Source organism: Homo sapiens, chromosome 4, assembly GCF_000001405.40.
Source record: "Homo sapiens chromosome 4, GRCh38.p14 Primary Assembly".
Lineage (NCBI taxonomy): Eukaryota > Metazoa > Chordata > Mammalia > Primates > Hominidae > Homo > Homo sapiens.
The window spans coordinates 169993109-170011419 of NC_000004.12; the positions used below are offsets into that span (position 1 = coordinate 169993109).

The 18311-nt window shown below is 41.6% G+C and overlaps 1 protein-coding gene across 13 annotated transcripts in view; it reads right to left on the reverse strand.

Annotated features, from left to right (window-relative positions):
- Positions 1 to 18311, reverse strand: part of MFAP3L (microfibril associated protein 3 like) — a 40676-nt gene that overhangs the window by 6507 nt on the left and 15858 nt on the right. For 5 of the 13 annotated variants that reach the window (XM_017008867.3, XM_017008865.3, XM_017008864.3 and 2 more), the window contains exons 2-4: positions 13495 to 13628; positions 12865 to 12902; positions 12472 to 12783 (exon numbers count right to left, since the gene is read on the reverse strand). The exons of 1 other annotated variant lie outside the window; for it this stretch is intronic. In XM_017008867.3, the coding sequence (XP_016864356.1) occupies positions 12472 to 12783; positions 12865 to 12902; positions 13495 to 13520 (376 nt within the window). In that variant the 5' untranslated portion in view covers positions 13521 to 13628. Of the gene's footprint in view, positions 1 to 1184; positions 1221 to 8856; positions 9119 to 10562; positions 10670 to 12471; positions 12903 to 13494; positions 13629 to 18311 lie in introns of those variants that run through there. 7 more of the 13 variants (XM_047416460.1, NM_021647.8, XM_047416461.1 and 4 more) reach the window with 6 other exon arrangements.

The following is an 18311-nucleotide window of genomic DNA, read 5'->3' on the forward strand; positions in this document are numbered from 1 at the left end:
GGATCTAGCATCGCCTCAGGAATGATATTTTGAATTCAGTGAAACACTTTGGTTTGAATTTAGCCTGCCCATCTACCTGCAGGTCAAAGACCCCTGTGAAACATGATACTAGACGTGGCTTCAGGGTGTTAGGTCTGAGCCCTTCTGAAACCCTACTACCTCCCTGGACTGTCCCATAGAGCAAATGAAGATCCCAGTTAGGCTTTTGGGGAGTTCTAAGGAACAGGCAAATATTTCTCCATAAAAACATTCTAGTTCCCCGAGCCGACTAGAGAAACCTCTCCTGAGAGCTGGGGCAACTGAACGCAGTTTCAAGTATCTATTATTGCACTGTATATTATTTGTTTGCTCTCCTTATGGTAGTGAGTTTTAATTCTAATAGAAAGCCTGGTATTTCCCAAAAGCAACTCTTTTTTGTTGTTTTTTGTTGTTAATACAGGGTTCCAATGGACTACGGAATAAGGCAACACAGGGCCTGTTTTCCCGCAGTGTCCTCTGCTCCAAGGAACTTTCTTAAGGAAGCGGGACGTGTCAATGAGGTACCTCCCGGGGTTCTACAGTTCCTCCTGCCCACTGGCCAGGGGGAATCTGGCGGGAGCCTCTCGGTGGATGCTGTCACATGACTGTGCCTTCTGAAAGAACATCTGTGAAGAGCAGTTTCTGGTGTCCCTGAGTAACCCTTTTCTAACAATTCAGCCAGTGTATTTCCTCCAAGAGTAGAAAACACTGGCTTGGAAAATCTAGTGAATTTTCAGCTTCTTGTGAATGTGTATGAACAAACCAACCTACTCGGTCTGTGAAATTCTCGCTAATTCAGATGGGACATGGGCAAGGCTTCTAATACTTTCATCCCATGAACATAAATTTTGATATTTCAGCTGCAGATTTTTTCAAATATACAATGACCTGAGGCCAGGAAAGTTACCTTGTCAATTTATTTTCTTATAATTTGCATGTCTTATAAAAGTAGACTACAGCAGGCATGGACAAAAACAGAACAAAAGTCTAACTGATTGAAAGCTTATTCCATAGAGAAGACATTGGGTTCTAGAGACTTACAGGCTATGCTTGTAGTTTCTCATATTTACCTTCCTTTTGTTGGAAAATATAGCAGAAAATAGAGTGGAGGAGGGTGAGAAGGTGAGGTTATTTGTGTGAAGAATGGTTAGGATCAGTTTGTTTACCTCCTCCCCATCCGTACCACTTTTTGGAACAGTTATCTGTAAATATAAGGATAAAGTAGTCTGAACCTGGGTACAGAAGAGGAGAACACTAACAAGACAGGCATCTGATGGTAATACCAACAGCTTTTTCCCCAAACCTAAGTTACAACTTTAGTGATCATTATGTTCTAATTGTTATAGAAAAATAAAATGTGAAAATACTAGTTACAACATCCCAATGCTTTCCTCTATTGAATATTTAAAAATGTTTCTGAACGTGAACTTTGAGTTTTCAGATATGATTTTAATTGTGTATTGATATGTATTTCTCTAATCTACAACCAAGCAGTTCAATTTAGACAACTACTTACAGGCACTTCAAACATTTCTTGTGACATTGTTAAAAGGGGCATAGCTTGGAATCAAATGCAGTCTAATTAGGTGATATGTGTGGTTCATTTTGGGGAAATCTGTGAGATGTCTAACAGATAAATTATTACTTAGGAGTATATTCAGATTCTTAGCCCAGCACATTGGGTCCACAGACTAATGGTTTTCATATACTTTATCCAATATTTAATTTTATTTGTTCTGAAAGTTTTAAGCCCAGTCATATATCTGTGAAGTGACTATATTAACTATAAACTATGACAAATGTGAGTGCATATATTATAATCCTAAAGCAGGTGGGTTATTACCTATAGCATGAGCTGTAACCATCTAGTTAAATGAGATCATCACAGCTCTCTCTGCCAGCAATTTCCTGTTTCCAATGGAAGACAAGGATACCAAAACGTCTCTTTCGTTTTCAGTCCATTACTAGATTCCTCTGGAAACAATCATCATCTTTATTTTATGGGTTAAGGTAATGTTAATGTCACTTAGAATTCTGGGTGAGATATGATAAAATGAGTATGTGACCTGGATTAAAACATACTATTACCAGACCACAAAGCGAGTCCAAGTCTTTGGAAGCCAACACAGTTCTAAGACTATCATAGAAGAGAACTAAGGTCCCGTAGCCTCCAAGGTTGTGTACGTCTGTATTCCCCCACCCCCTTTTTTGTAAAGGCCAGTATATTAATTCGTTCTGGGAACCAAGACTCCAAATATTTCCTCTCAGCCTCAGCCTGCCCTTCCATTAGTGAAAAATAAAGATTTCTGCACATTCTACTGCCACGTACAGCTCTGAAAACTAAAGATGGTGCAAATTCTGTTTGGAGGCTCCTCCCGCATCAGCTTTGGGCTCATGCTCAAGAAGAATCTCCATCCACACGGCACTTGTCCAGACAGGAACATCTCGAAAACGTTCTTGCTGCTGCACATTACCATTCGCATCGGTCTATAAATACCTGGCCCTGCATCTCATTCTAGAAGGGTCCCGACTTCAGCTTCCAGAAAGTTATACAAACACCCACGGTGACTATCACAGATCTTCGGGGCTTTACACGCGAAGTGGGGATACACAGTGCAGTCCCCATGTATTTTAAACTGTAACTGAGTGGGTATGTCAAGCTTATGCACTGAATGTTCATGAAGCTGCATTGCTTCAGCACAAATAAAACCCAAAATGTCAGTAGCAGATGCCAGGTCAGTTCTACATGCAATGATTTTGGAAGAAACAACATAGGCAGCCATCTCGCCATAACCTTCTGAATAGAAAAGACTCTCACGTTCTTCCTGCACTTGGGCTCAGTTACACACTTCCTGTCCCTTGAGCAGACTGTAGCCCCGCCACCCCCCACCCCCCACCCTGAAATACCCTTCCTCCATCCCCTCTCTCTCAGCTCCTGTTCTGGAAAGTGATGCACACCTGAGGCTTTAGGCTAAAATGCTCACACACGCTGCAGGACAAAGGCTGCTGCATCTCACATCTCCTGGAGACCAGAAATTGCCAGGGACCTGTCACAGTCTTCCCCAAGAAACTCCAGGCACACGAGTTAAATGTGAAAATCTCCCAGATGTTGTTTCTGAGCTGTACTGCAGGGCATGGGTTATGCCACACAACAAAGCTGACATTTGTAGAAGGGCAGTGATCTTTTTTTATCTTGCTCACTAATTCAGTCAACAAATATCATTGAGCAAACTGTGTACCAGGCTCCAAGCTAGATGATGGGAATACAAAGATGAGTTAGACACGACCCCTGACTGCAATAAAACATCCAGTTCCAAGAGAAAAACAGACTCCGAGACACAACCACAGCATCATGTGGTTAAGTATAATGGCATCTGGGAGGGACTGAAGGGGACAGAGAGCAAGGGCTTCCTAGAGGAGGCCACTGCTAAGCCAGATCCGCTGGCACAGGTAGGGAGAGGAATGCGAGTAAAAGAGAAAGAACTTTTGAGGTCACAGGGAGCACATGAGCACAAGAGAGAACACTGTGAGCCGCTGGAGCTGACCACTAGAAAACCGAGAAGGGCTCAGATGGAGGAAGGCAGGGCTGGATTACAGGAGGACCCCCAAATATGCAAGAGCTTTATATCTATCCTGCAGGAGACCTGGAGCCCCGCCTGCTTCACGACCTCATTTACATGACTTTTCCCCTGACAGGTTTGCCTTACTGTATTTCTTAGAGGGGCCACAGGACCTTCCCTCATGCTCCCTCTCTGCCTGCAAGGACTTCTTCCTCCCCACCCCAAGTCCCAGCCTCACACATTTAGCCCAGTTAAGACCCCATCCTCAAGTCTTGCTCCATTTCCCAATAAAGCCTTGTGTGAACTCTGATTAAATCAGTGGAGGAAACCTGAAAGTCCAGAACCAGATGCAGCCAAGCGTGAGAAGTTTAAAGATGAAGACCACAGCATTTCAAATTGTGGGGGGAGGGGCAGGGAAGACTATTGGGATAGATGACTGTTCATTTGCAAGAAAATAAAGGCAAATTCCTACTTTATGTGATACATAAAAATAAATTCCAACTACTCCGAAGATCTAAACATAAAATTAGAAGTATAAAATTAATGGAGGATATAAAATATTTTTATAACCTGGAAATAGGAAGTCCTTTTTAAGCATTTCAAACACCTCAGAAGCTGTAAAGGAAAACACCAGTGGATCAGATTTCCCCTAAATTAATTTTTTTCAATATAAAATACACCATATTAAAGTTAAAAGCAAATGACGGGCCAGGAGAAAATTCTAGAATGTTTGACAAATACTTAATGACTCTAAAACATAATGAACAGCTCTAAATCAAGCAAGTCAAGACAAACCCAAAAGAAAAAATGGGAAAAGGCTATGAACAGATCATTGGCAAAAACAAGAAATGTGAATGGTGTCTATGTGTAGAAAATCACTAATATGTAAATTATGATTATAGAGATCACAGTCATTTTTAAAACAACTTTTTCAACTCTCAGGTTGCCAGAATAAAGGGGAGTCGCTAGTGACATTGTTGGCAGTGGAAAGTGACGGCTGCCTGGCTGGGTAGGTATAAGGGGCAGGCCCGGTAGCTCACGGCCCTTCTATCACACACAACTCACCGCAGCCTGGATGGCCGACTCCTGCCCAGCTCGGCCTCCTTTCATTAATTCTTTTTTTTTTTTTTTTAATATTGCTGAGAATGTAGGGTAAGGGACACTCCCATGCACTGCAGGTAGTTGTCAGGCTGGTAACACTGTTGGAAGGATGATTTGATCACAACTTAAAATGAAGGTAGCCTATGATCCACTCTTAGACTTCTTGAAATTCTTCAAATCAGGCAAGCCTAGGTTGACTGGAAAAACAGCAATGATGTAAACCAAACAACGTAATAATAATAAAAAAAATCTTTTTAAGAACAGTGTTTCTTCCCAGGGACATAGTTCAGAGCTTTCCTCTCCAGCTCACTTTCTCTGGGAGAAGCCATAACTGTGGTGGGTTCCACACCGGGAAGGCAGCTGACCTGGGACCACGGTGCTCGCCATGGTGGCATGCCCACGTGGTATGGCCCAATGTCTCCTCAATAGGACAGTGCCAGGTAGCCCATCTGGCAATGAGAGAACAGATCAATAGCATCCTATGGTTACAATTAAACCTGTAAATACAAGAGATTCTATGGTACAGGGGTGACTGTGACTTAGTGTGAAACCAACAGATGACAACATCAGAACTAACGCTCACACAAACAACTTCTGAGCAAATTACTGCTGTACAGCAAGGAGCAGCAATGAGCAACGCATTCTGAACTGAAGAATCACAGGGAAAGTGAGAGCACAACCTCCACAGGTACTGTAATCACAGCTTTTCTCCAAACACCACTTCTACTGAAACCTTAAATCTTTCCAGGTTTACCTTAGGATCACTGAGCGTTAAAAATTAACATTTTCAACTTGAGAAAGCTGACTGAAAAAAAAAAATTATACCCAAATGCTAAGCTTTTAAAATTTCCAATCTTTTTATGAATGCGTGTGTGTAAACAGTGATGGACGTATGGTTTGTCTACATTCCCAATGAGTGGTATAAACAGATTAAAACTGTATTAACGATCCTGTTTAGACACTTTGGCTCTTAAGCCTCACACACCCATGCTTTTCCAGGAGAAGAATTAAATCTGCCAAAACGAGTATGTTAGTTTCTTGAAACTAATTTAAAAATATTCAGATAGTGAGAGTTCCAGTAAATGTTTATGCAAACAATAAATGAAATACAACATTTATTCAAACGAGGATTGCGTAGAATCGGCACCCTTTGAAGAAGCACAAAATGCGTGCATATGTGTTTGTATCTATAAATGTGGCACATATTTTGTGAAATACAGGCTACTGAAGAGATAGGATTCATGCCTTTTTACCAAACATAATTGAAAGCAAATTTAGCACTGCATGGCTGCACCTGTTACAAGGCATCTGCAGAAGATGAGAGCTCCTTGAAGCCACTGCAGCATCAGGTTATGAATCCCAGAAGCTGCAAGTGCTCTTGTGCCTCCCCAACCCCACTCACAACCCTCCCAAGAGACCTCTTCAGAGAGGACTAGGGCAGCTCTAACAAGCTAATTCTTACATCATGTAGAGCGAAGGTGGCCTGGGATAATATGGGCTTAGCCAAGCTTTCAACTCAGGAAGGTGGGGATGGAAGGATTTTGCTGTTCAGAATCTGTAGTTCTGTTCTACTTCAAGGTACTAATATCTGAAAATAACCTACTGTCTTTTTATTTCCTGGAAAAGGAAACATCTGTTCCTCTAGCTAATTTGGTCTGGTAATCTTAATTTTTAAAGGAGTGCCAAGCATGTAATTCCATAGAACATGGAATCATAATACATGGGCTCATAATAGTCTTTTCTAGAGAGTAGCTACAGGTGGTCCTCCAAAATAACAGCACCCTACACTTAGTTCACATTAATCACTTCCATTTTGGGAATCTTAGCTGTCATCCATATCTGAAATGGATCTGGAAGGGTCTTTTCACTGCTAAGACTAAAGCTATCTGGGCTCACATCCCAAGTGGAGCACAACTCACTGAAGAAACACACAAATGGCGGTTACCAGGTTGGCATTTGATATGGCTCAATTCAGAAAATTAACCTTAGTAAATTAAACTGCTTCTATGGGATCTACTTTGGAACGATTCTTTAGTTAGCCAAGGGGTTGCTCCTTTGGGTTACAGCAGGGTTTCTCAACTCGGGTACTACTGACATTTGGGGCTCGATAATTATTTATTGTAGGGGTCTGTCCTGTGCAATGTAGGCTGTTTAGCAGCATCTCTGGCCTCTACCCACTTGAAGCCAGGAGCACAACCAGCCTGACCCTACTGGTTATGACAACCAAAAATGTCTCCAGACTTGGCCACGTGTCCTCTGTGGAGAAAACAGTTCCCAGCTGAGAACCACGGGGTTAGGCAAATGCAAAATTCATCTGGTGCATAATACTTTGTAATTTCCACATACACTGCTTTCTTCCAAGGTAGAAGCACATTAGATATCAAAGGACCCTTTGTATGCAGAAGTGATGCACCAGGAAAGGAGGCCTCTGATGAGAAGAGAATCCCAAACTCACTGTCATAGCAGTCAGAACATTATTTTGAAATTTCAAATAACATTTAAGGGATAGGAATTTCTTTTGCATTTGCTGAGTTTTGGAAAGGTTGAGAAATTGAGAGAGAGGATATTAAATTACCCAGAAAACTCTTTCTTTACAAAACACACTATATTAAGAAACAGGGATTTTTAGCAATTGAAACCTATTATTGTGAGGATATAGTATAATATTAACAATAATAATAGCAGTGCCACTTACTGAGAGCTTGCTATATTCCAGGTACCTCTGCTAAGCATTTAAGACTCACAATCCCACTTGTAGTAAAAAAGGATTATCTCTATTTCACAGACAAGAAGACTGTGGTTGAGAAAAGTCAAAGAACTTCCTTAAAGACTATATAGGGTTATTCTTCTCAATTTCCAATCATATATTCATAATTACATATTTTCCAATAATATGTACATATGTTCACAAATCATAAATTGTGTTTGCTACCATTTGATGTTCTGTTTGCTGTTGAGATAGGATCTTGCTATTGCCCAGGCTGGAAAGCAGTATTGTGATCAAGGCTCACTGCAGCCTCAAACTCCCAGGCTCATGCAATCGTCCCACCTCAGCCTCCCCAGTAGCAGGGACTACAGGTATGTGCCACCAAGCCCTGCTAACTTTTTTTTTTTCCATAGAGACAGGGTCTCACTATGTTGCCCAGGCTGATCTTGAATTCCTGGGCTCAAGTGACCCTCCCATCTTGGCCTCCCAAAGTGCTGGGATTATAGCCATGAGCCACTGCACATGGCCTTGATGAGTGTTTTAAATCTCAAGTATTTAATATACTAAACAAGAATTCAGTATAACAGGTTAATACACCACTTCACACTGATCTTAGAGGTAAAGGATAATTTACATCTAATGCTGTGGACACCGACCTATTGATATATAAATATTAAGTAGGGAGGTGATAACTACAGTCTTATCACTGGCTGACACAGCTTGTCATGGTCCCTTGCAGAACTAGTTAAAAGGCATATTACAATCTATTCAAAGAAACCTGCAAAAGTAGAGGGATAAAAACAATAAAGCAAAGTAAACTAGAGGCAAAATTTATAATAATGAATTCCATAGCACTATAGTAGCAGTTGTGACAATTGTAGACTCAGTGCTTAATTGTTTTTGGCAACCAGACACTACAAGAGCACAGAAAACAAATCCACAGGAAAAGTAAAAAACCTAACTTAATGGAAGAATTTCAAACTTAATCTCTAACAAACCTAGACATGTTTACAAGGGCTGAAACCAGCTGACTTTCTTGAAATCCTCGTTACTTATCTCAGAGAGGTGCTAATGTTAATGTAAATGGTTTAAAGTCACAGTAAGAAGCAACAGTGAAAACACATTGGATAATTAGTGCCTGAAATAGTTAGGACTTAATTCCTGGCTACTATACATTTCTACTCACTTCTAGCAAAAGGAAAACTGAAAACAGTATATTTCGTGGCCATTTGTGGTTATTCATGTTGTCTGCTTTATGGTGTGTGGACTACCTCAAACAGGTTCTTTGCTGAACTACAAAAACAAAAGTCTTCCAGATAGAGATCACACATTAGCCTCTCCTGATCCTGTGGAATTGAAGTGACAGCACCAGGCAAGCAAAGCAAACCAGCTGCTGCTCCTGCCAATGACAGGAAATAGCCCCATTCTCTCTGGGCCTGGAGGGGCTGGCATGAATAACAGCTCTCTCACCTTTTCAGCAGAAACGAGACATGAAATTGCTCCTTTCCAGGCTAATCACAAAGTGAATGGCAGTGTGCTCCTTGAGTGACTCACCGATGATTTTTGAACGCCTTTTTGTGCATGTGCATGCCATGTACACACACATGTTCCGGCACAAATCCTAACACTGTCTGACCTTGCTATCGGTAGTGAGGATGCCTTTTCCATCTAGTTCTTCTCATATTCACTCAGTCTGAGTGAGAGGCTCTTCAACATTTTTCACCTACAGGACCTAAAGGATGATGTGGTGGGGCACAGAGGGAGAATGAATACCCGCTGGCCACACTCTGGTTGTGTCATACCCTCTGGTTTCACCTGGTTTCTCATCTGTATACATGAGGATTAATAACACTTCACTGTAGGGCTTATTATAAGGATTAGAAATAATATATGTCACTTGGTGCAGCGACTTAGTAAATGGCAGCAGTTGTTAATGAAAATTATAATTTTGTTAGTTTGGTTCTAACAGTAGTCTTAGTGTACCTAGGTAAGGTTCTAGGATATTAGTATCATTTTTCTTTTTTTTGTTTTTTTCAGACAGAGTCTCGTTCTGTCACCAGGCTCGAGTGCAGTGGCGCGATCTCAGCTCACTGCAACCTCTGCCTCCCAGGTTCAAGCGATTCTCCTGCCTCAGCCTCCTGAGTAGCTGGGATTACAGATATGCACCGCCACGCCCAGCTAATTTTTGTATTTTTAGCAGAGACAGGGTTTCACCATGTTGGCCAGGATGGTCTCAATCTCCTGACCTCATGATCCACCCACCTCGGCCTCCCAAAGTGCTGGGATTACAGGCATGAGCCACGCGCTTGGCCTAGTATTTTTCATACTATATTCAATCACCTCTTTATTTAAAAAAAAAAACAAAAAACAAAACACAAAAAACACCGCTCCATATAAACTTCTAGCCTATTGGTTTGAAAATGGAAATCTATGTCCATATTATAATATGGACATTTCCCCCTTCAAAAATGAAAAGTTAAAGACTGTGGGTTTACCAATAGGCCATTCCAGCTCTCAGATTCTGATATTTTTTGAGCAAGAATCTCTCGTTTCTGTTGTTTTCTGTGTATTGCTTGGTTGTTAGGTACACTGCTTTGTATATTATCCCATGTTGCTTATGCTCTGAAATTACCATCATGCATTGTAATTACAAAAGCTGAGCTGGAACATCAAGTACTAGTATCACGAGTTCTTTTTAAAACTTGAAAGTTTTAAAGAGATTTAAAATAGCTAACTGATTTATCAGCAAGGCTGCTGGCTACAAACCAGAGTGCTGAATTCTGATGGAGCAGTTCTCTGTGGCAAAGGCTTTTGACTGGCGGCCACTAGCTTGGGGTCTACTGACAGGCTACTACTATAGTCCATCTTAGCACCCACAAACAAAAGAAAATGGAGCCAAATATAACTACCAACTAGTTCAATGCCCTCAATACACAGATGAAGGAGGGACGGTGCAGAGTCAGCTTGCCAACGCTGAGTCAGCAGTTACAAGGACCTTTTCGCTAAGATACCACATATGTATCTCAGACGCAGTAAGATACTACACTTTGGGATAATCCTCGAAATGTTGGAACTGAAATTCAGGCCCCAGTGCTATGCTATTCCCACAGTTCTCTTCCTCTCTAGGACTGAGGAGTTCAGTGCCCCAACCCAGCTTTTTAATACCCAGGGATAACCTTTGCTTTAGGGTCCATGTAAAAGGGAGATCCAGGTCTTGGGTCTTTCTTCCCTTTGATTCAGTCACCGTGGGTTCCCTAGCGATAGCTCAGCCCTGCAGAAAGACCTGCTAAGGTACCTGGCCTGCAGTGTCTTTGTTACCATGGCTATTGCCCTCCATTCACAAGTGTGACATCACTGCCTTCTGACTTGTCCTGGAGGAAGTGGCTGTAGGAACCAAAACCAGTGTGGGCTAGGGGTTGTGTTCCCTCACCTTTCCACTGTCAGTAGTGAAGGTTCTTGTTATAGCCACTTTTTAAAATTGAGACAGAGTCTCACTCTGTCGCCCAGGCTGTAGTGCAGTGGCGTGATCTCTGCTCACTGCAACGCCTGCCTCCTGGGTTCAAGAGATTATTCTGCCTCGGCCTCCTGAGTAGCTGGAATTACAGGCACGTGCCACCATGTCCGGCTAATTTTTGTATTTTTAGTAGAGATGGGGTTTTACCATGTTGGCCAGGCTGGTCTCAAACTCTGGATCTCAGGTGATCTGCCTGCCTTGGCCTCCCAAAGTGCTGGGATTACAGGCCTAGTCATAGCCACTTAATAATAGCAGGACTTTGGGCAAATTTCAGTAAATGGGTATTTGAACTATAATGTCTTCAATGTGAGTTCTAATTTAACTTTGCTATGGTCCCACAATTCCTCTTGGTGGGTAAAAGTTCGACTCTCCTAGGTTAAACGCGATTCATAATATGTAATATTTTGACTTAAAGGAAGAAGCTTTATAATGCTCTACAACCTTGACTGGCTAACCAAAAGCAATGTAAGTGACAGCACTACAGCAAACCCCACATCCTGGCCAATTAGACGGCTAGCAGCCTCAACCATTCGGAACACAGCTGTGAACCAGAAGTAGGCAACTGCAAGAAAACTCCATTCACTTAGCTCCTAAGGAGATATACAGCATTAGCCTCTATTCTTTTTTCAGGGCAATTAAGATAAAATGAGGGAAAGAGATTTAAAATGTAGGTTTTCCTGGAGCAGAAACTCTTTTGGGGATTGCTCATTGGTTAAAGAATTGTGGAACAGGAGGGCAATGTGAATGGAAGAAACTAATAAGCTGCTACTTTAGAACAATGTTCTTTTCACTCCCCCACCCCAACCCCTCTACTTCACACAGTAAATGCCTAGGAAAGCAGATTAACTCCTTCTGGTCAATCTGACCAGGATTGGGTTTTCAGACAATTACTTCTCGCATCTAAAACAAGAAATGCACCGATTCCCGAAGACCCAATCCTCTCTCTGGCTAGTCTTTCCCGGAGTGAGGTGACTCACACTTTTTGGTCAGAAATGCATTTATTAAAAACCAAGCAGTCTCCTGTTGTCCCACATCCTTCCTTGTTATTGCATCCTCCCTCCCTCCCTGCCTCAGCCTAGAAACTGCAGCCAGGTCTCCAGGAATCCCAGCCAGTGGCTGAGACTTGCACTGAGGTTTCTTTCAGAAGTGTGGTCTTTAAATCCACGGCCAATGAATTAAATGGACATTTAATGATAAACAATGGCTATATTGTTTATTCCAGCCATCTCCATGAAAGAAAACAAAACTCCCTTAAAAATTGAATATATTATTTAGGAAAATCCATTTTACATTTGTCTCTATAATGTATTGGATGTATTATATTACAAAATTCCAAGAAGCCTTTAAAAAGACTTCTGTGTTTGTCCTTTGTCTTCTGTGTCAATGAGGGAAAAAAATGAATTAATTGCTTCTTTGAATCCTTAAGGATATATATTCTCTCCTGCCTTAGAAAAACAAGACAAGATGAGATCTTTAAATCATTTGCATGAGAAGAACTAACATCACGGGTGCTGGCTCCAAAGCTCCTGTTTATATTTTATTATGACATTTGATACAACTTTAAAGCCTACCTCCTCCTCTCTCCTTCTCATCCTCTTCTTCTTTCAGCAGCTTGCCAATGGAATTATACCACTTGAACTGTGGGTCAGGGATGCCATAAACACTACAGTTAATCAAGGCACTGTTCCCTTCCTTGACTATGATATGGTCAGTTCTGGCAATGATTACGGGCACAGAGCCCAAGACCACGTTAGTGCCATTTAAAGTGCTGTTAGTCACACTCTTAGCGGTGGCTAGAGTGGATACTAGGATTAAAAAGGGCACAGAAGGTAGAAAGCACACAGTCAGATGGCTCTTCAATCGATCCATCTTCTTTGCTTGCTCTGTAAGGCAATAGAGAGATGGTTTGCCAACCGAATCTTCTATCAGACAACACACTGTTCACAGCAGGTCATGGGACAAACCTGTCCTGGGTCCATAGAGTTGGTACTTGAGCAAGAACCTGTTTTTAAGAAAACAAAAATATATACACATAAACATTAGCATTCATCCATTCAAAACACTATAAACGGTTAGCAATGCAGCTAAAATACAAACATCAACATACTTTTTTTTTTTTTTTGAGAGGGAGTCTTGCTCTGTTGCCCAGGCTAGAGTGCAGTGGGGCGATCTTGGCTCACTGCAACCTTCACCTCCTAGGTTTAAGTGATTCTCCTGCCTCAGCCTACCAAGTAGCTGGGATTACAGGCACCCACCAACATGTCTGGCTAATTTTTGTATTTTTAGTAGAGATGAGGTTTCACCGTGTTGGCCAGGCTGGTCTCGAACTCCTGACCTCAGGTGATCCACCCACCTCGGCCTCTCAAAGTGCTGGGATTACAGGCGTGAGCCACCGCACCCGGCCAAACCTACATACTTTTTAAACAAAACACAACCATAAGATGTTCCGGATGTGAATTATATTTTTCACAGAAATCATAATTTTGTTTTTTGCTATCAAAACATATAGATTTTATAGGAACAAATATTTCTTATATTAAATTTATATATTGCTTCATAGAGCGCAAAAATGGATTCAGGCTGCTTTCACTTACCATGACAAGCTCTCTTTCCTCCACATTACCTGTCTTCATTGTGGAGGACCTAATTGTTCACCTGGGTGTTCCTTAACCTCTTCTCTCCCAGTAAACGGGACTTCCAGTCTGCGTCACTGGTCACAGCTTGGGCTCTGCCGGCATTTGGAAGGACTGCATCAGAATCACTCTGGCATTCTCCTAACTACCCATTATAGCTTCCAGAATGCTCCTTACTGTCTCATTCAACTTCCCATGCTCCTCTGAGCTCCACCTCATCTAGCGCTCTCTGCTCTGTGTTACTGTTACTTACGGGCTCCAGGTCACTCATGTACACCCTGGTTTCAATCTCATCTGCCTCCCACAGGCTGGGGAACATCACCAGACATTACGGTTGGCGGCACTTCTATGTCCAAAGATCTAACCTTCACCTAGTCCTCTATCCTCCATTTCATTCTAATTCTATAGCCATGCCTTCTTCAAAGGCAGAAGTTATTATTTCAATTCTGCCTACAACAACACTGAAGGGGTACCTGGTGATGATAAATTAGCTTCAGATCATATTTTTTTTCAGTAGGAAAGAAAAGAGTTTTGTTTTGCCATAGATTTCCATAAACCCCACTAAACTGGAGTGCTTTCCTGCCCTAGGAAGCCAACACATTACGCCACCAGCTGAAACCCTGTGGCGAAGGGAGATAGCACAGACTGCAATGGCATGATAGACACCCTGCCATGACTTTGCAAATGTCTTTCTTTACTTGGCTAAACTTGTGGTTTCCTTTGTGGTTGGAAAGCTGACCTATTCGATACAGAATAGCTGTGAAGAGCATGGCCTCAGGTTTGAGAGAGACCAGGCCAGGATTCTGGACATAACCACCTTCGCTGGCTGTGTGTCTTGGGCAAGTACAAGACAATTATAAGGATTCACAATCAAATGTATACCAAACACCTATGTACTGCTGCCTTGATAAACAAGAATTATTAGCACAATGTATAAAGCATCCTTTATTGAAATGATGCTTCTCCAATCTATTTTTATGTCTTCTAAAAGCCAGATCTTGAGTTTTGCTTAAAACGTTATTATAAATTATAAATAATTATAAATGACTTTCAGCACTGGGTCCTTTGCAGGGGCTCAAGTCTGAGAATGCATGAGCTGCCCCCTTAGGTGTATTCTGTGGTGAGCATGTTGAGGGCAGGGGCTGGGTCACTCATTATTGACTCCCTGGTGCCCGAGCCATAGCAGATGCCTGGCTAAATACCACAGGGGAGAATCAGAGACAAGGCAGGTTGGGAGATGGGTTCTAATAAATATGGGTGGTAAATATAACTTTTCCCCCCAGTTAAAGAAAATGCCACAAATGGAAAATCAAACTGAATTTTAAAGTGTGTATCTCAAGAGCTGTTTTCAAACAGAGGCTCTCCACATTTGGCTTTCTACGTTCAAACACATTGTGCTAGCAGAGTAAAGAGAAGGGGATACTGCTGTGCTATTATATTTTAATAATGTCAGTAGGTGCTTTGGGCTAGAAACACAGCCAACTGTTCTGAAATGGAATCTAGTTCCGTTAGAGACCTTACGAGATACAGAAGCAGAGACTTTCGTTTTATGCAGGGATTTCAGTTAGCAAAATGTTTTCCCTCTTCCTCATTTTTATTCCCATCCTCTCCCATCTGGAAAAGTCACTAAGGTACAGAAGACATAACGCATCATTTACAGGTTGTTTGTATCACAGCGTTTTGCTCTAAAATTCTGTGAAAACTGATTCAAAGTAAGCACTGAATTAACACTAATGAATTAATAGTTTTAGTAAGAATTTACTTTCAATTTACTCTTTCACTTCAGATTTTTCAAAAGGTATTTATTATGTGCCGGGCACACTGCCAGGATTTAGGGGATGGGAAGTGCCACAAAGCTCAATAAACCACAGACCATGTCCACTCACAGTCTAGTAGTGGAAAGACATACAGATAACTTCAATATGTTCTCTAGGTGCTATGGGCTTGGAGTTGGGTAGGAAGGAGGGGCACCGAACAGCTTGGGTGCCACCTAGAGATGATGTTTGTTGACTGCCCATCCAGCATCCAGGCCCTCTTCTGCCTTTCCCTTTCTGTGAGTCCCATGGCTCACAGGGTAGAAACTTCTAGTCCTTCTCATCACCCCATCGCATGTGCACCTACCAAACTTGACACTGCTCCCTGGTGTATGATCTTGCACTTTTCTGTTTTGAGTAAATTCCTTCTCGATTACAAGGACAGCTCCTGGATAGCAAAAACTTGCACATATAGTTCAGTAGGATTTCCTTATTGCTAGGCACCCATAATCACGTTTACACACTTGCTGTATGAAGCCATGCTTATATGGAATCCAACGGCAATTATTTAAGAACAAATTACAATGTGTTGCCTGAAGAACATAAGATATCACGTGACTCTGGACGCTGGCAAAATATTCTGCAAATGTACCTTTTCAGCTTGTTGGATTAGGATCTTACAGACAGCACCATGAAAAGTTTAGTTGAGCTGGACATGGTGGCTCACGCCTGTAATCCTAGCACTTTGGGAGGCTGACGCAGGCGGATCACGAGGTCAGGAGTTCGAGACCAGCCTGGCCAATATGGTGAAACCCCATCTCTACTAAAAATACAAAAATTAGCCGGGCGTGGTGGTGTGCTCCTGTAGTCCCAGCTACTCAGGAGGCTGGGGCAGGAGAATCACTTGAACCCAGGAGGCGGAGGTTACAGTGAGCCGAGATGGCATCACTGCACTCCAGCCTGGGCGACAGAGCAAGACGCTGTCTCAAAAAAAAAAAAAAAAAAAAGTTTAGTTGATAACAATCTAACATTGTGAAAGACATTTGAGCCAGCAAAGAGTAAAATAACAATCTAACATTGTGAAAGGGATTTGAGCCAGCAAAGAGTAAACCCTAAGTACTATAATCCAGCAGCTTAAAATGCAGTCCTTCAAAATACAAGAACAAAGACCACAGCTTTCAAAACCAGGGCTTAACAAAAGCTACAATGGACAAGTTGTTAAACCTCATAATCTTTGGGAAAACTTTGATAGACTACTTTATTTTCTATAAATAGAACAAAAGAGAAATATTTAGCAAATATCAAATGTTCTTTATTTTGACCCCTTCCCTACCTCCCAGCCATTGGATTTTATCTAAAAATGTTTAATAAAATGCTTTGTTCAGTCCTATTTCTTCTTTTTCCACCTATAATCAATAAGACTGTTGCCCATGTATTTCTGGAGCTAGAAGGAAAAGGACCTCTTGTGTAAGGGGTGTTTTGTACTAAATGAATATTATTGTTTTTTCTTGGCAGAGTCAATTTGGGTATTGCCCCAACTACTCTGATGAATAATTTGTAGAGTGATACAACTGGATTTTGTTGCAACACCTACTGAGAGTTACCCCTATTTTAATTTGCGTGGGAATGATGCCACAGGCACATAAGCTACCTTCTGGATGAAAACACATTCTTCACAGGGTTATACTCATGAAGCATGGAGAGGGAAGCCCCATTTCATATGAATTGGAAAGTGGCACTAAAATACTCATTAAGACATGAATACTAACTTTTCAAAACTGGTAGTCAACTCAAGCCATTTCAGTTATGAATATGTTTCTGCCACTTCCTTTCCCATATATCATAATGAATTCAAAATATCCACGTCTTTTTTAAACAAAAATTAAAAATATTTTCTTTTGCGATTAAAAAAAATGAGAACAAAATTCTCACTGGCTCATTCTATCCCACCTAACACCTTTCAGGATCAGCATAGAGTCTCTTGAACAGCATGGGTCTGAACCACTCAGTCCACTTACATGCAGGTTTTTTCTTTTTTAACAGAAGTTACACTGAGTGTGCCTGCCTCTCCTTCCCCCTCTTCCACATCCACCACCTATGAGACAGCAAGACCAGCCCCTCCCCCTCCTCCTCAGTCTACTCAACTTGAAGATGGCGAGGCTGAAGACATTTACGATGATCCACTTCCCCTTAGTGAACGGCAAATATATTTTCTCCTTCTTAAGATTTTCTTAATAACAGTCTTTTCTCTAGCTTACTTTATTGTAGGAAAATGGTATATAATACACATAGCATACAAAATATGTGTTAATGAGCTGTTCATGTCATCAGAAAGGCTTCTGGTCAACAACCGGCTATTAGTAGTTAAGTTCTGGGGAGTCAAAAATTATACACAGATTTCCCACTGCATTGCGGGGGGGTGGGTGCCCCTAACCCATGTTGTTCAAGCATCAACTATACTGAATTTTAGATAATTAGGGTGATCTCTGAATATAAACTATGGTGATATGGTTTGGCTGTGTTCCCACCCAAATCTCACCTTGAATTGTAATAAACCCCATGTGTCAAGGGTGGGGCCAAGTGGAGATAATTGAATCATGGGGGTGGTTTCCACCATATTGTTCTTGTGGTAGTAAGTCTCACGAGATCTAACGGTTTTATAAATGGGAGTTCTCCTGCACAAGCTCTTTTCTTGCCTGCTGCCGTGTAAGACATGCCTTTGCTTCTCCTTTGCCTTCCACCATGATTCTGAGGCCTCCCCAGCCATGTGGAACTGTGAATCAATTAGACTTCTTTGCTTTATAAATTACCCAGTCTCAGGTATGTCTTTATTAGCAGCATGAAAACAAACAGACGCATATGGGAATCTAAAGTCAAGGGCCAAGAAATCTGTGGAAAAAAAATGTTCCTTTAGCAATTACTGCAGTCCAGAGTCAAATCATTTAAGTGATAAATCAGTTAAGTCCTATCTCAATGCCCAAAGTCCTATTACAGAGATTCATACTGCCCTTTCTTGCCCTTTCT